Source organism: Homo sapiens, chromosome 10, assembly GCF_000001405.40.
Source record: "Homo sapiens chromosome 10, GRCh38.p14 Primary Assembly".
Classification (NCBI taxonomy): domain Eukaryota; kingdom Metazoa; phylum Chordata; class Mammalia; order Primates; family Hominidae; genus Homo; species Homo sapiens.
The window spans coordinates 86498457-86521824 of record NC_000010.11 but is presented as its reverse complement, the minus strand read 5'-3'; the positions used below and the strand labels follow the sequence as shown (position 1 = coordinate 86521824).

General features: G+C 41.4%; 1 protein-coding gene across 2 annotated transcripts in view, besides 2 other annotated features; it reads left to right on the top strand.

Annotated features, from left to right (window-relative positions):
* The window catches only part of WAPL (WAPL cohesin release factor), an 86537-nt gene continuing 63201 nt past the window's right edge, over positions 33-23368 (top strand). For both annotated transcript variants that reach the window (NM_001318328.2, NM_015045.5), the window contains exons 1-3: positions 33-460; positions 3734-4254; positions 21082-22107. In NM_001318328.2, the coding sequence (NP_001305257.1) occupies positions 3756-4254; positions 21082-22107 (1525 nt within the window). In that variant the 5' untranslated portion in view covers positions 33-460; positions 3734-3755. The remainder of the gene's footprint in view (positions 461-3733; positions 4255-21081; positions 22108-23368) is intronic.
* Positions 120-539: a silencer, noted in NCBI's record as "silent region_2569". NCBI's record gives its function as "represses an Ori minimal core promoter by ATAC-STARR-seq in GM12878 lymphoblastoid cells {active_cell/tissue: GM12878}" and the evidence as "EXISTENCE:reporter gene assay evidence [ECO:0000049][PMID:35858748]".
* Positions 17613-18113: an enhancer, noted in NCBI's record as "H3K4me1 hESC enhancer chr10:88263469-88263969 (GRCh37/hg19 assembly coordinates)". NCBI's record gives its function as "activates a minimal SCP1, AML or CMV promoter by ChIP-STARR-seq in primed H9 embryonic stem cells {active_cell/tissue: H9 hESC(primed)}" and the evidence as "EXISTENCE:reporter gene assay evidence [ECO:0000049][PMID:30033119]".

The following is a 23368-nucleotide window of genomic DNA, read 5'->3' as shown; positions in this document are numbered from 1 at the left end:
CGGGCGGCCGCGCGGGGACTGTGGGAAGCGGAGTGACGGAGCGAGCGGCTGTTGGAGGAAGGAGGTGGGGGCCGGGAGCGCAAATGGCGTTGAGATGGTTCAGGGCCCTGTTCAAACTCCAGCACTGACCATTCACCGGCGGAAGCGGCGGCGCAGGAGGCGGCGGCGGCCCAGCGGGGGCACACAGCAGGCTCTGTTACCAGCTCCAGCAGTGGCGGCCAGCGAGAGCTAGGCCTGGGCCCGGCCGGCGGCGCTCGAGGCGGGGAGGGAAGTTGCGGGGCCGCCGCTCCTGCCCCCCCAACCGGGCTTCCTATTTACCGAAAGCAGAGTCCCTCGCCTCTCTCGGCTCTCACCTGCCGGCCCTGCTCTCCCGCGCGAGGGTTCCGCGCCCGCCCGCGGGCCGTAGGGAGCGGGAGAGGCGGAGGCGGCCCGTGGCCAAAGCACCCGCCAGGCTCCGAGGGTAAGTGAGGTGTCGGGCGGCCGCCTAGGCCGGGAGGGAGCCGGGAGGGTGGGGGAGGCAGAGGCTGGGAGCGGGCGGTGGAAGTCTCACTGCCTCGCCCACCGGGCCGCTGAGGAAGTTGGGCAGGGGAATGACCTGAGGAACTCTTTTTTTCCCCTTTTATTTTCCTTTTTCGGAGTTCTTTTTCGGGCGACTGCTGATTGACTTAGCTCCCCAAACCCAGTCAAGTGTGTTGATTTCAGCCCCGAGTCCTTTCCCGTGGTTTCATCCGCCTCTGGCCGCCACTGGGGCCTTGCACTGCCTTAAGGATTCGGTGGCAGAGGCTTCCGGGGCGTCGAAAGTGACCTCCCTTTCCTGGGCGGCGCGGGTTGGGAGGAGAAAAGTTGCATTGAGTGTCTAGTCCGAGGGGTCCATCGCGCCCACTGCCCGTGGCGCCCCGGCTGTCCCCAGGTGAGGATTTCTGGTTAGTCAGGTTCGTCCCGTCCGCTTTCCATCTTTAATGGAAGCCCTTAAAGCCTTTGGGGATCGGGAAGACGCTAGATTAGGGTGGGAGTGAAGTATAAAGGCTTTTTGCTTTTTTTTTTTTTTTTTTTTTTTTAAATCACAGCGCACTTCTCTCAAAATTCGACCTGATTTTGGGCTAGGGCAAAAGCCGAACGACCGAAAAGACTTAGTCGTCAATCATTCTTTCCTTTTTAGTTAGGACAGTCTTTGGAGTTTAAAGGTTGAGCAAGATTGTGTACTTGAAACACTTAAAATTTAACTTCAAGGACGTCTGCACACTTATTTTGGAATCTGTAGTGCTTTACGCTTAGATAATGCCATTGCAAAGACATTTTATTGTGGGAAACGATAAAGGCAATCAGGAGGAGATATTATATAATGAACTTCTCTGTACCCATCGCTTGGATTTAGCAGTGACTATTAAACAAATTTATTTCATCTATACACTTCTCATTCCTTAATGTTGGAAAATCGCTGACGTTATTTCATCAGTATTTCACTATGTATTTGTAAAAGACGTGGTCTTTTGGCACAAAATTATTATTATCATTATTATTATTATTTTGAGACGGAGTTTCGCCCTTGTTGCCCAGGCTGGAGTGCAGTGGCGCGATCTCAGCTCACCGCAACCTCCGCCTCCCAGGTTCAATTGATTCTCCTGCCCCAGCCTCCGGAGTAGCTGGGATTACAGGCATGCGCCACCACGCCCGGCTAATTTTCTATTTTTAGTAGAAACGTGGTTTCTCCATGTTGGTCAGGCTGGTCTCGAACTCCTGGCCTCAGGTGATCTGCCCGTCTTGGCTTCCCAGAGTGCTGGAATTACAGGCGTGACCTGCCGCCCCCAGCCAGCACAAAATTATTTTTTATCACATAAAATAATTAAGTCCTTAGTGTCAGGTATTCATCTGAAGACTTCAAACTTTCAACAGTGAATGCTTTGTGGTTATAGAACCATTTTAACAGTTTTTCTGATGTTGGCATAAAGGAACTCAAGTCTAGATTTTTGGTTTGGCCTTTGGTTAGTATTTTTAGATGATTAGCACATAAGTGAATCCAAAACATTCCATCTTTGTTGGTGTGTATGTGTACGTACACTTACAGACCTGCAGGATCTCAGCTTTACATTCTTGAAGGAACAGAGAATCGATTTTTATTTTGTTGTCCGTGGTAGTTGCCCAGTATCCTGTTTTGTTTAGGCTGTACTTAACAAGAAAGACAGTAAGACTTGTTAGTGTTAGAGCTGCAGTGGAAGATGAAATACATCTCCTTCAGGAACACTGTTTTCTCTTAACGCAGATATGTATGATGACTAAATTATTACCTTGTCAAATTAAAATTGGGTTCTCACCAAACATGGGGGGGGGTCTACTACTGAATTTATATAAAACTCAGACAGTGACTCATTATAAATGGTAAGAATTTAAGTTAATCAAGGGAAAACAAGTGTAGATCAAAACATATTCAAAAGTATAGGTCAAATATAATTTCAATTCTTGTAGCTTTCAAAGTAATGATTTTTCATTCCTTAGGCCCTTGTTCACTTTTTAAAGTTATATTCGATGTATTCATGTTTGAACTGTAGAAAGGTCAAAGTGTTAGACAAACGGTTACTGATTGATCATGTTTAAAAAGTACTATAACTTTTTAATAGGCACAGAACTAATGCAAGTAACTTGTTTTAAAAAATGTTTGACTCTTGATTTACTGCCCTAAAGATTTTTTTTTTTGTCCTGTGAAGTAGATAAATCAGGTGAATCGATTTGCCATTTATAAATTGAAAAGGAAAATAAAAGTTGTATGTTTCTATGTCTGTATTAATCCATGAAACAGTGTAATATGCTGGAGCTCACTAGCCCCAGAAAATATAACTCAGCAAATGAGCACAGCACTATCGGGACAAGGCAGATAGGATAAGGATAGTTTCTTTCCCTAGGGAGATGACCATCTAAGGAACATTTTTAAAGTCACAGCGCAAATTACATTACACCAAGAAGCAGAATCTTCAAGATTGGGTTAAAAGCTGCAGGTTGTAAAACATGAGAAAAAGCACCATTTTGGGGACCTTTTTTCTCATGTGAATTAGTGCCATGAAATTTCAAAGAACTAAATTTAATCAAGTATTGGATATTTCTGAGGCCCTGAAAAAAACTAACATTCTGTGCTTAAGATTTTATATAAGTAATTACCCTATACAGGTTATCATTATATCACTGCAACCTCCATCTCCTGAGTTCAAGCGGTTCTTCTGCTCCAGCTTCTCAAGTAGCTGGGATTACAGGTGCGTGCCACCACTCCCAGCTAATTTTTGTATTTTTAGTAGAGATGGGGTTTCACCGTGTTGGGCAGGCTGGTCTCAAACTCCTGGCCTCAAGTGAGCTGCCTGCCTCGGCCTCCCAGCCTCTATACAGATAATTTTTTAAGGTAAAAATGATGTTTATAAGAATAGTAAATTAATTCATTTGGAACTTAATATGCTTCATTTTAAGTTAGCTTTATGGATATCGTATTATAAGTTGGTTAATCATTAAGTTTTTTTACTTTGTAAGTAGCGTAGGAATATGTACTCATTGTGGAGGAAAATTGACATGGAAGCATGTAGGGTAATAAATCAGCCTTTCTTTATACCCCTTCCTCATATTTGTTTATTTAAAAGTCTGTGTGGTGAGTGTCAAAAGTCATGAGGGAAGAATCCCTAGGTTTTTATTTTTATATGCACTGTTTAACACTTGTATTTGATGATTATATGTTTTCTTAAATTTTTTTTCACAGAGAATATGAAACTGGTGTCAAAATGACATCCAGATTTGGGAAAACATACAGTAGGAAAGGTGGAAATGGCAGTTCAAAATTCGATGAAGTCTTTTCCAACAAACGGACTACCCTTAGCACAAAATGGGGAGAGACCACATTTATGGCTAAATTAGGGCAGAAGAGGCCCAATTTCAAACCAGATATCCAAGAAATTCCGAAGAAACCTAAAGTGGAAGAAGAAAGTACTGGAGATCCTTTTGGATTTGATAGTGATGATGAGTCTCTACCAGTTTCTTCAAAGAATTTAGCCCAGGTTAAGTGTTCCTCTTATTCAGAATCTAGTGAAGCTGCTCAGTTGGAAGAGGTCACTTCAGTACTTGAAGCTAATAGCAAAATTAGTCATGTGGTCGTTGAAGACACTGTCGTTTCTGATAAATGCTTCCCTTTGGAGGACACTTTACTTGGGAAAGAAAAGAGCACAAACCGAATTGTAGAAGATGATGCAAGCATAAGTAGCTGTAATAAATTAATAACTTCAGGTAAGTTTTGATTTTCTTTATTCTCCGCCAAGAGAGCTTTGTGCAACCAATTTATTTAAATGATTTAAATTCTAAAATATATATTGTGTTTTCTTTCTGCACTTATGATACATGGGGACCATTGATAGTTTTGTAAAAGACATTTAAGAACTTTAAAGAAACCAGTTGGAGGTTGAAATAAACAACTTGGATGTTAACATTTATAGACTGTTGCGCAGGGTACGTTTTGGGAACAGTCATAAGTTTATAACCCCAATTCCAATAAGAAATATCTCTTTTTGTTGTGTTAGGATCACAAAGTATCTCATTTCTATTACTGTGGAGGATTTGGATGGTTATTGATAATGAAAATGAGATGAGTATTTAAAATGAGGATTAGTTACCAATGGTAGACTCTCTGCCAAAACTAGTTCAGAAAGATTAAGGGGGTATTGAGTGGAGACATTTAAAGAATTGAACTTGATTCCAAATTGAGATTAGTTTGGGGCCAGTATCAACTTGTATTGATAGATTTTTTTTTTTGAGAAGGAGTCTCGCTGTCGCCCATGCTGGCTCCGCCTCCCAGGTTCATGCCATTTTCCTGCCTCAGCCTCCCGAGTAGCTGGGACTACAGGCGCCCGCCACCACGCCTGGCTAATTTTTGTATTTTTAGTAGAGACAGGGTTTCACTGTGTTAGCCAGGATGGTCTCCATCTCCTGACCTCGTGATCTGCCCGCCTCACCTCCCAAAGTGCTGGGATTACAGGCATGAGCCACCGTGCCCGGCTGTGTTGATAGATTTTAAACCACAAAACTGGTTGTATTTTAAAAATGTTAATTTGTAAATATAGCATCTAGTATTCTCTCCTAAAACGATATATTTTGTTCTGTCTTCTGTAAGGGATTTGAGATTTATAATAAGTGAAAAAGGTGCAATTAATTAAAAGACTGAAGAGCTAATATTGAGGGTGGCAGGGAAGAGGTGGGGTGGAGAAGTGGGAGCACTCTATCAGCATTAGGATAAGGGTGGCAGTATACTGTAATTGAAAAGAAACCTTAGTTCTTGACGTCTTGGCAAAGTTTAGCAATAATGAGAGGTTATAAAAATCTCCTATTTTGAAAGGAAGTAAACACAGACAAAACTTGGCTGTACTGAATTCTTAAGGCAAATTTGTCCTTTGAAGGTTAAGGTATGTGAAACAGTACAATGTACTGGGCCTTGCATAGTTTTACTAAAAATGTTGAGCATTTTTTCACTCTTTTTCTCACTCTTGGATGAGACGATGAGCCAGCTGTTATTGTCATTCCCTTGATCCTCAGGGTTAATTCTAATTTGGCTGTCCTTCCTGCTTTGCCCACATTTCTCCTCAGGCGTTGTTGACAAGTTAAGTTTAGGTTAAATTTCCATTAAAAAACAGCGTAAAGGACCTGTGCAGTGGCTCATGCCTGTAATCCCAGCACTTTGGGAGGCCAAGGCAGTTGGATCACCTGAGGTCAGGAGTTCAAGACCAGCCTGGCCAACATGGTGAAACCCCATCTCTATTAAAAATACAAAAAATTAGCTGGGCATGGTGGCGGGTGCCTCTAAATCCCACCTACTACGGAGGTTGAGGCAGGAGAATCACTTGAACCCAGGAGACAGAGGTTGCAGTGAGCCGAGATCGCACCACTGCACTCCAGCCTGGGCAACAAAGCAAGATGCCATCTCAAAAAAAAAAAAAAAAAAAGGCATAGACAGCATAAAAACTGTTTCCAGGTCAGCTCCTAAAAATGTATAAATGTATATTAAAATCATCAAACTTTTTTTTTTGAGACACAGTCTCGCTGTGTTGCCCAGGCTGTAGTACAGTGGCGCAGTCTTGCCTCACTGCAACCTCCGCTTCCCGGATTCAAGTGATTCTCCCACCTCAGCCTCCCCAGTAGCTGGGATTATAGGCACCTGCCATCATGCCCAGGTAATTTTTGTATTTTTGTAGGGACAGGTTTTCACCGTGTTGGCCAGGCTAGTCTCAAACTCCTGACCTCAAGTGATCTGCCTATCTAGGCCTCCCAAAGTGCTGGGATTGCAAGCGTGAGCCATCGCTTCTGGCCCATCAAACTTTTTTTGAACTAAAATGAATTTTAACTCAGCTCTCATTTTATATAAGAAGCTCAAAGAGGTTAAATGACTGTCCAAGGTCAGCTAGTGGCAGAACTGGAATGAGATTCGTTTATTATCAACATATTGAGCACCTACTGTCCGTCAAACCACTGTACAAGGCTCTGCGAATGCTATTCTGCTTGTGTTTGTTGTTCCAACTGACATTTCTTTTTTTTCTTTTTTTTTTTTGAGATGAAGTCTCGCTCTTGTCCCCCCAGGCTGGAGTGCGATGGCGCTATCTTGGCTCACTGCAACCTCCGCCTCTCGGGTTCAAGCAATTCTCCTGCCCCAGTCCCCCCGAGTAGCTGGGATTTTAGGCACCTGCCACCATGCCCTGCTAATTTTTGTATTTTTAGTAGAGACGGCGTTTCACCATGTTGGCCCGGCTGGTCTAGAACTCCTGACCTCATGTGATCCACCCGCCTTGGCCTCCCCAAGTGCTGGGAATATAGGCGTGAGCCACTGTGCCCAGCCTGACATTTCTTGATGTTTTCAGATAATCTACAGTGTGGGGTGGGTGGGCCGGAGGAAGTAAGATTAAACTGTGCAAGTGGTGAAAGTGCTCAGGGCTGACTCCATCTTCCTTAAGTGTATGGTCTTTTGAGGAATGGGGCATCATTGGCAGGCAGGGGCCCTGATGGCAGAGTGTATTAATAAAGTTGAACGTTTAGGTAAGGGGGAAAAGGAATGTGGAAGTTATTCATAAGTAATTGTTTCTGTAGCTTTGCGGACAATATATCTTTATGTTAAATCTGTTGTTGGAAGTTGGTTGGTGAGACCAACCAGCTAAGTGGGATAATTGCTTCCCAGTCTATGTAGCTAAAATGTAGTTCTAATGCTGATACTGTGGACTGACTCTGAGTCCAAACTCCATTTTAATTGGTCTGTGAGGGGAAAATACATACTAAAATACAGGTAAATAGATGTTCAGGAACATCTTGTCCATCTTCCTTCCTCCTTCACAAAGGGTCTCTTAGTGGTCAGGGAATGGTGTAGCACTATGAATATTTCTTTTTTTCTCCTCTCCCTTGGTCATCCAGAGTTGCAACAACCTTGGCAGCTCCCTGTAGGATAAGAAGTGAATTTGAGGGAGTGCATTTAATTTTCATGGTAGACTTATCCTGTCTCTAATGTGTGCAAGTTAGTTGTTCTTATAAACCATTTGTAAGTTTGTATGTTTGTAAGTTTGTTATAGTTGTGGGGATGCTTTTGTACTTTGTGACTTTTCCTTTGTCTCTCCCCTCTAAACTGGTCATTTCTCTTGTGCCTAGACTGTTTTCTTGCATTATGTCTGTCAATTTTCATTGCCTTTACTCTCACTCAGAAAACCTTGTAATTTTAATTGAAATTTAGAAACCCAAACCTAAATTTTTGATAAAAGAGGCCTCTCTAAATCTCAAGTGGTTCCTAACCTTTTTTGCTTTAGGGACCCTTCTGAGAATGATAAAGTTTTGAACTCTTTTCTCCAGATGCAAGTATTCATGTACCTACTTGGGTCTCAGAAATCTTAGCAGTCTTTTGCAGGTCATGGTTAGGCATTTTATTTAAAAACCTGTTGCAAATTTTAACAACTCATTCAAAGTGCACAGGTGAAGTTCCGTCATATCTTTCCAGTGGAGTGTTGAGTGTCCTTCTCGTTCATACTATTTTTTTGCTGTAGAATTATATCACCTCAGTGAAAAGGGCTTATCCAGGCTCAGAATTATTATGTCATTTGTCCTGGCATTACGTTTTTAAGTGCATCTCTTTCTCTATAGGGGAGTATGTGGTTGATTTTTTTGACACTGTTAAAATTCTTTAAGTACTTTTATAACGGATAGTACTTTTAAAAATTTTGTTGCGGGTGTGGCGGCTCATGCCTGTCATCCCAGCACTTTGGGGGAGGTTCAGGAGTTCGAGACCAGCCTGACCAACATGGTGAAACCCCGTCTTTACTAAAAAAAATACAAAAATTAACCAGGTGTGGTGGCGCATGTCTGTAATCCCAGCTACTCAGGACACTGAGGCGGGAACTGCTTGAACCCCGGAGGTGAAGGTTGCAGTGAGCTGAGATTATGCCACCGCACTCCAGCCTGGGTGACAGAGCAAGACTCCAACTCAATAAATAAGTAAATAAATAAATTGTGTTTCACTTGAAGAGGAAACTTAGGATGAGGTCACTATAAAACATACAGTGGCTGTAATCCAGCACTTTGGGAGGCCGAGGCGGGTGAATCGCTTGAGGTCAGGAGTTCGAGACCAGCCTGGCCAACATAGTGAAACCCCCATCTCTACTAAAAATACAAAAAAATTAGCGGAAATTGCTTGAATCGGGGAGGTAGAGGTTGCAGTGAGCCGAGGTGGTGCCACTGCACTCCAACTTGGGCAACAGAGCGAGACTCCATCTCAAAAAACAAAAACAAAAAAACCCCGCAAAACCTACAGTAGTTCCCATTTTCCAGACAGATGCTTGGTGGGTAAGGGAACCAGAAACAAGATTACAAACTGAATAGGTACTGCAGGGAAGGGTTGTGTTGCTAAAATGTCCTGTTCCTTAAACAAGAAGAAAACGTTTATTATGAAACTTTTCAGGCACACAAAAATAGAATGGTAAAAAAAAACCTCATGTACTTGATTGTCCACCTCCAATAGTTGTATCTGGCAGATCTTGTTGCATCTGTTTTGCACGCTACTCTCTCCACTTCCCATCCTTTACTCCCTGGATTTTAAAGCTAGTTTAAGATTTCTGTTTCTATCTGCAAATACTTCTGTATCTAATCTTTAATTTTGAAAACAGAAATTTCTGATTGCAGTTGCTATTAAAGCCAGTCAGTTCTCAGCCAGGTGTGCCAATTAAAAATGACTGTTAGCAGGAGCTAAAGGTCCACCCTTCTAAGAGATCTCCAGGTATTCCTTAATGGTTTGAATCAATGCCGTCGGTAGTAGAGGCAAAAAGAAGGCTTCTCTTGCCTTTTATGCAAGGCTACTTCCATTTCTCATCTTTGTTCTGCTACAGGTTTTTAATCTGGACTCTAGAATAAAGTGTGCAAAGACTTATATTTCGGCTTGGCACACTTTTCTTGCCAGCCAGCTGGGATTCAGTCTACATATCCTGCCAAATATTGAGATAACTACAGCATAGGCTCTTAATTTGCCTGACTGGTTTTGTAGCCAATAAATTTTTTTAATTTGCTTAAAGCTGTAATGAGTATTTGTGTAAGTTAGAGGGATGGTATTGTCAGGAGATTTTGAACTTGGATTTAGAACTGAAGGTGATTTTTTAGAAAGGGAAATGTTTTATTACTGAAAGTTTAAAGTAGGACAGGAACTTGTGATCTGAGATGAGATTGTCATTGGATAAAGTACAGATGATATGAGGATTATTATTATTTTTTAAGTCCTGAAAGGATAGTATCAGCAAGAGTTACCTGCCTTTATTTATTGAATGTATTTGTTGTGTAGAATATATTTAAATCATACCGAAAATCAGCTTCTTTTTAAGAGAAGTGGATAAGACCTATTATTTCTTTTTTTATTTTTATTTTTATTTTTTGGAGACAGGGTCTTACTCTCTCATCCAGGCTGGAGTGCATGGCTTATCACAGGTTCTACCTCCTGGGCTGAAGCCATCTTCCCTCCTCGGCCTCCCCAGTAGTTGGGAGTACAATGGTTCACCACCACACTGGGCTAATTTCTATATTTTTTGTAGAGACCGTGTCTCAGTATGCCCAGCCTGGTCCTGAACTCCTGGGCTTGAGTAGTCCTCCTGCCTCCACCTCCCGAAGTGTTGGGATTACAGGCATGAGCCACTGTGCCCGGCCCTGTTATTTCTTAAATTCCTACTTTTACATATCAATTGATCCTTAATCACAACTGTATAAGGGAGGCTTTATTTCCATTATATTGAGGGTAAGGCACAGTTCAGAGGTTGAATAACTTGAACTGTTAAGTGGAAGATCTGGGAAACATCCAAAGTGTTCTTTTCATACAGTGCTGTTGTATTCTGATGTGAATGAGATAAATTTTGTCATCTTCAAAGCTGTATATTTAGAAGAGACTGTCACTGTAAGAGCAGTTTTATCTTGATGTTGGAAATAAAGTTATTTTGCAAGGGGCAAATTATGGATTCCCTCTTGTCTCTGTTCAAGTAATTTTCTGCTTTTTTTAATTTTAAAGATGTGATTTTTGTAAAGAGGTGGGATCTGGCTGTCTTGCCCTGGCTGGCCTCAAACTCCTGGGCTCATGCAGTGCTCCCACCTCAGCCTCCTGCCTCAGCCTTCTGAGAGGCTGGGATTACAGGCATGCCACCTGGCTTAAGTAATTTTCTTTTTAATAAGAATGATGGGCCAGGCATGGTGGCTCACACCTGTTAATACCAGCACTTGGGTAGGCCAAAGTGGGAGGATGGCGTGAGCCCAGGAGTTCAAAACCAGCCTGGTCAACATAGTGACATCCCATTTCTTCAAAAAAAAAAAAAAATTAGCCTGATGTGTTGGGGTGCACCCGTAGTTCCAGCTACTTGGGAGACTGAGTTGAGGATCACTTGAGCCCAGCAGTTCAGGGCAGCAGCGAGCCATGATTGGGTCACAGCCTGGGTGACACAGCAAGATACCATCTCAAAAACAAAACAAAACAAGAATGATGACCAAACTATTTTTAATACTTACCGAATAAAGTTTTTGACTTGATTTTTATAGATATTTTCTACTACTTATTTTCATATGTGTATATAAATGGAAATTCAACATTATGTAAATTATGAAAGAGGCATTATAATTTTAAGTAAATTCATTTTGTTCTAAAGCAGAACTTTTGTTTCTTACTCAGATTTTCTGAGGAAAAGGAGTATTATTCTCAAGGTTTGTATATTAACAAACGCATGGGAGACCACTAACAAATTTCTTCTCAGATCCAGATTGAATACCAGCTATGGGGTAAAATATGAAATTTATAAACATAGCCTCTGTACTTTAGAGTTACTGACTTCTGCTGGTCATGATAAAGAACTAGCTTCTAACATGACAACACTTTTATATAATACATTATGCTTTTCAGAGCATTTTCCCTAAGTATTTTATGCTTTTAGAACTTGAAGCCAGACAGCCGGGTGCGGTGGCTCACACCTGTAATCCCAACACTTTGGGAGGCAAGGCGGGTGGATCACGAGGTCAGGAGTTCGAAACCAGCCTGACCAACATGGTGAGATCCCGTCTCTACTAAAAATACAAAAATTAGCCAGGCGTGGTGGCGTGTGCCTATAATCCCAGGTACTCAGGAGGCTGAGGCAGGAGAATCGCTTAAACCCGGTAGGCAGAGGTTGCAGTGAGTCAAGATCATGCCACTGCACTCCAGCCTGGGCAACAGAACGAGACTCTGTCTCAAAAAAAAAAAAAAAAAAAAAAAAGGCCGGGTGGAGTGGCTGATGCCTGTAATCCCAGCACTTCGGTTTGGAAGGCCGAGGCGGGCGGATCACGAGGTCAGCAGTTCGAGACCAGCCTGGCCAACATGGTAAAACCCGGTCTTTACTAAAAATAACAAAAATTAGCCAGGCACGGTGGCGGGTGCCTGTAGTCCCAGCTAGTCCGGAGCCTGAGGCAGGAGAATTGCTTGAACCCGGGAGGTGGAGGTTGCAGTGAGCTGAGACCATGCCATTGCACTCCAGCCTGGGTGACTGAGCGAGACTCTGTCTCAAAAAAAAAAAAAAAAACCAAAGAGCTTCGAGCCAGATGATACCTCATGAATTTTTCTTTTCCAGCACTTGTGCCTTTAGGAAGTAGTACTCAACTTTCCTAGACCCCTGATGGTAGAGGAGGATGAGTTTGTTCATAGGAAGGTCTACGGGGATGCCTCCTTCCAGCTATTATTTTAGTGTCCATGAACAAGATGGACTCACTTGCATTTCTCGCATTGTACTGGGGAAGATAGAATAAACAATCACAAGTGTGCTGAAAAGGAAAAAATATATAGAGTGGTGCGGGAGTGTAGCACTCTATGGGCTTACTTGCTTGTTCTAGGGGTGCAGGTACGTAGGCAAGGCTGATATTTAACCTGGGACCTGTTGGTGCACTGAGAAAGGATAGAAGTGGCAGAGTTTGGTGACATGAGTGATGAGGAAGGAGGCATCAGGAATTATTCCCAGCTATGTAATGTGAGCAGCTGAGCAGATGGTAGTGTCATTTACTGAGATAGGGAACATTTTGACAGAAAGTTTGAGTTCAGTTTTGGGTACATTGGGTTTGAGATGTTTGTAAGATATGTTTCAGTGGCAGATTTGCTGGAATGGAGCTGAGATAAGAAGCCTTGATTAGAGACAATTAATTCGAAATTCAGTATATAAATATTATCTGGAAAGAAAGGATTAGTTGAAGTCATTAAAGAGAGTGTAAGAGGAAAAAGTATTAGGACTGTGCTGTGAAGGACTTCCAATACTGGCCGGGCGCGGTGGCTTACGCCTGTAATCCCAGCACTTTGGGAGGCAGAGGCGGGCGGATCACGAGGTCAGGAGATCGAGACCACGGTGAAACCCTGTCTCTACTAAAAATACAAAAAATTAGCCGGGCGTGGTGGCGGGCGCCTGTAGTCCCAGTTACTTGGAGAGGCTGAGGCAGGAGAATGGCGTGAACTCTGGAGGCGGAGCTTGCAGTGAGCCGAGATCGCGCCACTGCACTCCAGCCTGGGTGACAGAGACTCTGTCTCAAAAAAAAAAAAAAAAAAGAACTTTCAATACTAATGGAGGGGGAGAAGAGGAAGAAACTAGAAAAGGAAATTCAGTAGGAGCAGCTAGAGCAGCTTAAGGGAAACCAGAGAAGTGATATATTATAGAAGCCAATGTAAAAGTATTTCAGAAAGTATTGACTGACGCGGAATGCTGCTGCCATCAACTTAAGTGAGGACTGCAAGGCAGACCTTGGATTTGCAGCTTGGACTGGAGTGATCCAAGGGGTGAGGAAATGGGGGGTAACAAGTGTTTACAACTTGTTAAAGATGTTCGAAGGGGAGGAGAAGAAAAAGGGCAGCTAGAGGGATGTGAGGGATTCTAGATGGTTTAATGCGTGGGATCCAAAGCGCAAGAGAACCGTTTTGGAAGAAGGGGTGCTATGTTTGGCTGGAAGGAGGAAAGTTGAGTAAAAAGATGAGCTTAGTGGGAGGACATAAGAGAAGGTGGTTTATAGCTAAAAGTGTGTTTTCCCTTATCCCATAAAATGACCAAAGAGGTTATTACTGAAAGGGACAAAGAAAGGCAGGGTAACTTGGGGGGTTTGGGGGAGCAGGAAAGAGTTCAGATAGATGTTACTTAAAGTGGGAGAATGAGCTGTCTAGAGACAAAGTAGAATTTCTGGACATTATTGAGGCCTTAGTTGAAGTTGGTGTCACTAAAAACACATGGTCACTAATCTACCTAGTGTGTATGTTTTTTTCCTCCTCCTCTAGTAGGCCCCATTATCTGGAACCTGGACAGAATACAGAATATTGGATAAGATTATTAGAATTGTCCTCAATAGACATTTTGTCAGTCAGCATGTGGAATGAAGAGATAGAGAAGCAAGGGAATTTAGGGTGTTATTGCCCAGAGAGAGATTGAGAAGATAGACTGTGGAATTTAAAATGCTGAGTGCCCGGACAGGGCTAATGAATAGGAGAAAGGGGAGAAAGGGGTTAGTATACTGAGAATCTTCTTAAATAAAAATGAAGAATGGGAGTACTGGCACAAGCAAGTTGGATGGTTGGTAGGTTGTGATTAAAAAAAAAAAAACAGTGGGCTATCTGATTTTAATGTTTATGAAGTGAAGCATTTTAGGATATACGGCAAGCTTCTGGATGCAACTGAGAACTGGTGGCTGAGATGGAATGCGGAAGATTGTTGATGATGAGATAAGGTTAAAGAACTGGGAAATCAGAGGGTTGGAATTTGGTGGAATTCAGTGTGATAGCAAAATTGGGATGGAGGAGTAGATTATAAATATGGTGTAAAATCCTTAAATACATGAACAGTGAATAAGAGGTTGAATAAGAGGTTGTTGGATGACAAGTATTAGGAAGATTAGAGGGTAACTAGCACAAGCCTTAAAAGAAGGGGCTTTAATTTTTTTTTTTTTTTTTTTTTTTTGAGACAGAGTCTCGCTGACGCCCAGGCTGGAGTGCAGTGGCACAGTCTTGGCTGACTGCAACCTCTGCCTCCCGGGTTCAAGCGATTCTCCTGCCTCATCCTCCCGAGTAGCTGGGATTATAGGCGCCTGTCACCACACCTGGCTAATTTTTGTATTTTTGGTAGAGACGGGGTTTCACTATATTGGCCAGGGTGGTCTTGGACTCCTGAACTCAGGTGATCCGCCCGCCTCGGCCTCCCAAAGTGCTGGGATTACAGGTGTGAGCCACCATGCCCGGCCACTACTTTTTTTTTTTTTTTTTAAATCTTTCCTTACTTATTTTTGTTGTCTTTTTATTATTATTTGTTTAGTCTTACACAAGAAAATCAGAGAAGCCAAGAAGGGGCTCTTATATAACAGGGTGGAGGAGTAATCATTTTATAAAGAGGCTCTGGAGAGTCAGCATATCAGTGTCCCCAAACTGTCCTGCTCTGAAATAGTAGGGAGGGCTGCAGGAAAAGAGGCACCCTTAGTCCAGTGTAGGGCAAAGAAGTGGTAGAAAGAATGAACCCCAGGTGTCCTTTTAATTTTTTTTAGAAACAAGGTCTTTCTCTGTTGCCCAGGCTGGAGTGCAGTGGTGCGATCATTGCTCACTGCAACCTTAAACTCCTGGGCTTAAGTGATCCTCCTACCCCCACTTCCTGAGTAGCTAGGACTATAGGAACGTGCCACCACTCCTGGCTGATTTTCAAAATTTTTTTTTGTAGAGAGAGTCTTGCTTTGTTGCCTAGGCTGGTCTCTGACTCCTGGATGCAAGTGATCCCCCTGCTTTGGCCTGCCGCCCCTCCCACCCCAAGTGCTGGGATTACAGGCGTGAGCCACCACACGTGGCCAATATTGACATTTTAAAATATAACATGCAGTTTAGATGTCATAGTGATTTCTTTTAACTTTTTTAAATTGTAAAATAAAACAGAAAACCACACAAAAGGGTCTAGCTTAATTAATTATTAGAAGAGGAACACTCCTGTAACCATTACCTAAGTTAGGAAATAGAATTGTGCCAGCCAGTTTAGAAGTTCTTTCATGCATCACTTCCTCCTTCCTCACCCTCAAAGTATTTTGTTTGTTTGTTTGTTTGTTTTTGTTTTTGGAGATGGTCTCGCTCTGTTGCCCAGACTGGAGTACAGTAATGCAATCATGTTTCACTGCAGCCTCAATCTTCTGGGCACAGGTAATCTTCCTGCCTCAGCCTCCTGAGAAGTTGGGACCACGGGTGTGTACCATCACAGTCAGCTAATTTTTTTTGATTTTAGTAGAGACAAGGTCTTGAACTCCTGAGCTCAAGTAGTCCTCACACCTTGGCCTCCCAAAGTGTTGGTATTACTGTCATGAACCAGTGCTTCTGGCCCATAATTATTTTCTTGCTTGCAAATGCCATAATTACTTGCTGTTCATTCTCTTTTTAAAATTTTTTCTTTAATAATTTTTCTTTCTTACAAGTCCCCATTATGCCCCAGAAACTGTTCACTTTCGTATGTTTAAAAAAATACAAGAACATGCTCTTCAATAGCCAGAATATAGTGTTCCTTGTTCTTTTTGAAATTGTATTTCTATCCTACTTCCCCTTCAGAATTTTATCCTAATGATTATAGTATTTATGTTTAGTCTTTTAGTGGTCATCCTTTTCATAATTCTTGGTATAAAAATATGTATATGCATTTAAATTCAAATTTTTAAGAGCCGAGGCTGGTACAAAAATATGTATATGCATTTAAATTCAAATTTTTAAGGGCTGTGACCGGGCGCGGTGGCTCATGCCTGTAATCCTAGCACTTTGGGAGGCTGAGGTAGGCAGATCACTTGAGGTCAGGAGTTTGAGACCAGCCTGGTCAACATGGTGAAACCCCGTCTCTGCTAAAAATAAAAAAATTAGCTGGGAATGGTGACTCGCGCCTGTAGTCCCAGCTACTCAGGAGGTTGAGACAGGAGAATATCACTTGAACGTGGGAGGTGGAGACTGCACCACTGCCTTATTGACAGAGCAAGACTCTGTCTCCAAAAAAAAAAAAAAAAAAAAAAAAAGAGTTGGGCACTGTGGCTGAAGCTTGTAATCCCAGTACTTTGGGAGGCTGAGATGGGAGGATCGCCTGAGTCTAGGAGTTTGAGACCAGCCTGGGCAACATAAAAAAAACATAAAAAAATCCTGTCTCTACAGAAAAAAAAACTCTACAGCTTTTAGGAATTTTATGTGACTGTAGTGCTCTAAACTGTTTTAAAAATAATTCTGTACTACATCATGATCACAGTTATCAGTGCTTTTATTTTTTTAATCAAATGCTCTCAGAATATTTGATCAAACTTGAATGCTATAATCAAACTTGAATGCTGTATATATTAAAGATAAAATTTATTGGAAATGTATCTTTTAAGAGATGAGTGGGCTTTTTTCAGTTAGTTTATATATATATGAATGAATGTTATTGCTAAAGTATATAAAGGTTTTGGACAAAAAAGTTCTTTGGCATCAATTTTATTCCTATTTTTTGTTGTTTTTTGTTGTCAAGATGGAGCCTCGCTGTGTTGCTCAGGCTGGAGTGCGTGGCTACTCACACAGGTGTGATCATAACAGCAGCCTCAAATGAACCGCTGGCCACAGTGCCCTGGGTAGCTCTAGGTGGGACTATAAGCACGTACTGCTATGTCCCTGTTATTCCTTTTTCTTTTTTTTTTTGAGACTGAGTCTCGCTCTGTCGACGGGGCTCACTGCCACCTCTGCCTCCCAGGTTCAAGCGATTCTTCTGCCTCAGCCTCCCAAGTAGCTTGGACTACAGGTGTGTGCTACTACGCCCGGCTAATTTTTTGTATTTTTTAGTAGAGATGGGGTGTCACCGTGTTAGCTAGTCTGGTCTCGATCTCCTGACCTCGTGATCTGCCCACCTCTGCCTCCCAAAGTGCTGGGATTACAGGCGTGAGCCACCGCACCTGGCCTGATGGTTGCTTTGAGATAAAATAAATTAATAGAAAGTATTTAGAATACTACCAGGCACATACCGAGGGCTTATATAAATATAGTTCAGCTTTGTTTTACTTTGAGTTTTAATTGTGAGTGAAATTGAGTATCCTTCATAAGTTATTTAATTCATTATAGATATATATTTTAATGAATTGCTTCTTTGTGTTCTTGGCTTATTATTTATTCATTTATTTTTGAGGCAGAGTCTTGCTCTGTTGCCCAGGCTGGAGTGCAGTGGTGCTATCTCAGCTCACTACAACCTCTGCCTCCTGGGTTCAAACAATTCTTGTGCCTCAGCCTCCCAAGTAGCGAGGACGACTGGCATGTGCCACCACGCCTGGCTGGGTTTTTTTTGTCTTTTTAGTGGAGACAGGGTTTCACCATGTTGGCCACACTGGTCTCGAACTTCTGGCCTCAAGTGATCTGCCTGACTCGGCCTCCCAAAGAGCCGGCATTATAGGCCTGAGCCATTGTGCCTGGCCCCTAGCGCCATTTTCTACTGGGACATTGGACTTACTGATGTGTAAGGATTCTTGGTATATTAAGGAATTTACCTTTTGTGTTTCCCTAGCAACTAATGATAAGCATTTTTCATGTGTGTATTCTTTTTTTTTTTTGAGATGGAGTCTTGCTCTGTCACCCAGGCCGTGGTGCAGTGGTGTGATCTTGGCTCACTGCAAGCTCCGCCTTCCGGGTTCACGCCATTCTCCTGCCTCAGCCTCCCGGGTAGCTGGAACTACAGATGCCCGCCACCACGCCTGGCTCATTTTTTTGTATTTTTAGTAGAGACGGAGTTTCACTGTGTTAGCCAGGATGGTCTCAATCTCCTGACCTGATGACCCACCCGCTTCGGCCTCCCAAAGTGCTGGGATTACAGGCATGAGCCACCACACCCGGCGAAGTTTGTTTTCTTATCATGACAGCCATTCAGATATTTAAAGGCAGGTTTCATGTAATGGCAGTTTTCTTCCATCCCTGCACCAATTAAACCTTTCTAGTTGCCTCAACTGTATTTCATGGGTTATGGTCTCCAAGCCACTTTGTATCATTTGCACAGATTTCTTACAGGTTAAAGGCATTGTTTAAGTTTAGTCCTCAGCACACCGTGAGATAAACATTTGCTATTTCCACCTCAGCCTCCCAAAGTGCTGGGATTACAGGTGTGAGCCCCCGCGCCCAGCCAGTGAATTAGTTTTGTTGTTGTTGTTCTTTTAAACAGAGTCTCGCTCTTTTGCCCAGGTTGGAGTACAGTGACATGATCTTGGCTCACTGCAACCTCTGCCTCCCGGGTTCAAGCAGTTCTCCTGCCTCAGCCTCCTGAGTAGCTGGGACTACAGGCGCCCGCCACCACGCCTGGCTAATTTTTGTGTTTTTAGTAGAGACAGGGTTTCACCATGTTGGCCAGGCTGGCCTCGAACTCCTGACCTCATGATCCGCCCGCCTTGGCCTCCCAAACTGCTGGGATTACAGGCATGAGCCACCACGCCTGGCCTAGCATTTTAGTGTTTAGCAGCCACCACTAGACGTAGTGTAATATAGTTTGGTATGGGTCTTTTTTATGAAGTCTCTTTTGACTATTGATTTAATTGAGAACCTCTGCAGTCATTAGCCCCTCTGGGCCTTTTTTTCTCATCTGTGTAATGATGGGTTTGGTAAGAAATCAAAGGAAGTATCTTCATTTTCTTATAAGAGGGTAAAGGAAGTCTGTATATATTTGTGTGTATAGACTAGTATACAGTTACACAGATGTATACATTTGTGTGTTTATGTCTACAAAAATAATGTCTATTTGTATCTCCATCTCCATTAAACAGTTCAACTGTTTAATCTTCAACAAACAATTCATTGCCAGTCTTGTTTCATTTTTATCCTCACTAAAGTAAATTCAAGATGTTGTATTTGATTCATAAATATATTTTTTTAACAGATAAGGACTCCAAAAATATACAATTTTGGCATTTTTTATGTTTTGGCTTTTGAATAGACAACTTACATGCAGTATAAAATTCAAGAAGTATGAAAGTCTTTTCTTGTTCCTTATCCCTTAGTCATTCCATCTCTAAGAGCATCCATATCTGTACATAATGTAGAGCTGCCTCATTCTTTTTAACAACTGCATAGTATTCAGGTGTGTTGCTATATGGTAATTTAATTCTTTATTAATTGGTATATTGTTTATGAAAGCAAAAACCAGGAAACAGTGTTCTATTGAGTTTCTTGTTACTTATGTAATTTTGTGTTCGTGGAAAGTTATTTCTAAATACTTGTAAATGAAACTGCTGGCTTCAAGAGTAAGTCCTTTCTTTCACATGTACATTTTTAGTTTTAAAAGATATTACCAAATCTTAACCTGTTAAATTACATTAAAACCCTTTGGAGGCTGGACGTGGTGGCTCATGCCTGTGATTGTAGCACTTTGGGAGGCAGAGGCAGGACGTTTGCTTGAGCCCAGGAGTTCAAGACCAGCCTAGGCACCGTAGTGTGACCCTGTCTGTTAAATAAAAAGGGGAGTTAGGCAGGTGTGGTGGTGCACACCTGTAGTTCCAGCTGTTTGGGAGTGCTGCTCAGGAGGCTGAGGTGGGAGGATCACTTGAGGCCTGGAGGTCTCTGAAGCTGCAGTGAGCTGTGATCACACCACTGTATTCCAGTGTGGGTGACAGTGAGATCCTGTCTTGAGGGCAGGAAAACCTATTGGGTAGAATTAAAAATTATGCAGTGAATCTGTCCATGTAAAGCATCCCTCTCACCTGTATTTGATGATGCTAATTGAGATTTGTAAATAGCTTTTCTTAAATGTAGATGTATTTTGTAGAAGTAATTTTATTGTTTGGCATAGGGTATACATTTTGTCAGTGTTTTTCTACAAGTAAATGTTGAGGGAATTAATAATACCAGTTGGAATCATATTTGTATCTCATTTGGAAAGGTTGTAAAAATGTTCTGATAGTAAAAATTGAAGGCAACAAAAATGAATTCTCCACATACCAGATGAATAGGCAGGCTGAGGATTTATTACTGGCTGATATGCATAAATAGCCACTATTAGCCATTTAACTAACACACCAGAACTACTGCTAAAAATTCCCTTGAGATTATATGGCATTTAGGATTAGAAGAAAGAACAGAAATAGCTAGAGAAACCTGATCCTATGGACAGGTTTCTGGATAGAACTAGCATACCTTATGGGCAGCCCTATCCCAGATAAATAAAAACACTGGTAGAAGGTTTTTATTAACTGTTCAGTTGGTTTAGGTTTTACTAAATGATTTTTAATTTAAGCATCTTTATTTGAAAAGCCCATAATACCCCTAAGAAGGTTTGGCTGAGTCATTTACATGTCATTCTGAATGGATTCAGTTGCTTAACCCTGCTGAAATTTCTTGTGAGTTTACAATTTTAAGGGACTTGGTTGCCTGAGGAAAGGTCAGTAGAAGGCATGAGAGCTATACACTGAAAAGATAGGAGAGGAAATGTCTGATATGTAAATGTTAATTTCTTCACAACTTAAAATTATTTGCAGTTCTTCCAAGATTGATCATATACTATTGATTAACCACATATATGTTATTTATTAACTTTTATGTTGATACCACTCATGTTTTTATCCTTTGACTTATTTTTACAGATAAAGTGGAGAATTTTCATGAAGAACATGAAAAGAATAGTCACCATATTCACAAAAATGCTGATGACAGTACTAAGAAACCCAATGCAGAAACTACAGTGGCTTCTGAAATCAAGGAAACAAATGATACTTGGAACTCCCAGTTTGGGAAAAGGCCAGAATCACCATCAGAAATATCTCCAATCAAGGGATCTGTTAGAACTGGTTTGTTTGAATGGGATAATGATTTTGAAGATATCAGATCAGAAGACTGTATTTTAAGTTTGGATAGTGATCCCCTTTTGGAGATGAAGGATGACGATTTTAAAAATCGATTGGAAAATCTGAATGAAGCCATTGAGGAAGATATTGTACAAAGTGTTCTTAGGCCAACCAACTGTAGGACGTACTGTAGGGCCAATAAAACGAAATCCTCCCAAGGAGCATCAAATTTTGATAAGCTGATGGACGGCACCAGTCAGGCCTTAGCCAAAGCAAACAGTGAATCGAGTAAAGATGGCCTGAATCAGGCAAAGAAAGGGGGTGTAAGTTGTGGGACCAGTTTTAGAGGGACAGTTGGACGGACTAGAGATTACACTGTTTTACATCCATCTTGCTTGTCAGTTTGTAATGTTACCATACAGGATACTATGGAACGCAGCATGGATGAGTTCACTGCATCCACTCCTGCAGATTTGGGAGAAGCTGGTCGTCTCAGAAAAAAGGCAGATATTGCAACTTCTAAGACTACTACTAGATTTCGACCTAGTAATACTAAATCCAAAAAGGATGTTAAACTTGAATTTTTTGGTTTTGAAGATCATGAGACAGGAGGTGATGAAGGAGGTTCTGGAAGTTCTAATTACAAAATTAAGTATTTTGGCTTTGATGATCTCAGTGAAAGCGAAGATGATGAAGATGATGACTGTCAAGTAGAAAGAAAGACAAGCAAAAAAAGAACTAAAACAGCTCCATCACCCTCCTTGCAGCCTCCCCCAGAAAGCAATGATAATTCCCAGGACAGTCAGTCTGGTACTAACAATGCAGGTAAGAATTTAAAAAATATGTATAATAAGTACAATAGTTCCCCCTTACCTGCAGTTTCACTTTCTGTGGTTTCAATTACCCAAGGTCAACCATATTCTGAAAAGAGGTGAGTACAGTATAATAAGATAAAGATCCCATTCACATAACATTTATTATAGCGTATTGTTAAAATCATTGTTCTATTCTTAGTCATTGCTAATCTCTTACTGTGCTTGATTTATAAATTAAACTTTATCATAGGTATGTATACGAAAAAACATAGTATATACAGGTTTTGGTGTACTATTCCTGGTTTCAGGCATCCACTAGGAACTGGCATGTATTCCCTGTTGATGGCTGGGGGGGCTACTTTAAATGTGTTTTTCAGGCTTGAATCAACAGCTGCATAGTTTCTTCCTAGATACTCAAGTTTAGCTTGTTATATTTATTAAAAGTACCTGTTAGAACCGTAAATCACCTTATCTAAAGGTACAGCATTTCAAGTGTTAATGATCAGGTCCCAAGTTGTAAGGAACCAATTTGTAGATTGGAGAGTCTTCATATTTGAGTTTTAATTTAACCTTTAGCACTTGAGAATTTTAAAGCATATATGTGTATGGGGCAGGGACACCAAACATCGTGATGTTTCCACTTGACAAATGCAAATGCAGTGAAAACATAGATTAGATTTTGGGCCTTTGGAACTGTACTGATAACAGGTGGTTATAATGAGGGAAATACCAGAAGATTAGAATTTAAAAACTCTTTGTGGTTGGCTAAAAACTAATAAACATTCAAAACACTCTCAAACCCTCCTAAGTTGGTTTAATAAAATTGAAAAGTGCCAGGTAAGTATGCATTCCCTCTTAACTGTGGAAATTTAATTTGTGCCGAGATTGTAGACTCAGTAGTGACTAAGGGTCCTCAAGGAGTTCAGTCTCCACTGTGAGAGACAAACAAAAGAAATAGGTTAGCTCTGCCATAATTAAGTCATTACCTGACAAGGGCTTTGTGAAGTGGATTGACTATCTAGTGAGGAAGAATTTGTGAAAGCTTCTAGGATACATGGTTTCTTAACCAAATATAGTTTTTCTGGATTGGTTTACATATTAAATAAAGCTTTTTTCCTGGTAGGGCCACAGAAGTGTCATTATGGTAAATTAGAATTACAGTAGTATTTTGAAATACAAATTCTCTTGTAGAATATAAGTCATTCTTGAGATTACCTACCATTTTGCTTTATTTGGCCTGAAAATAGTTTTGCTTAATTTATTCTTCAAAA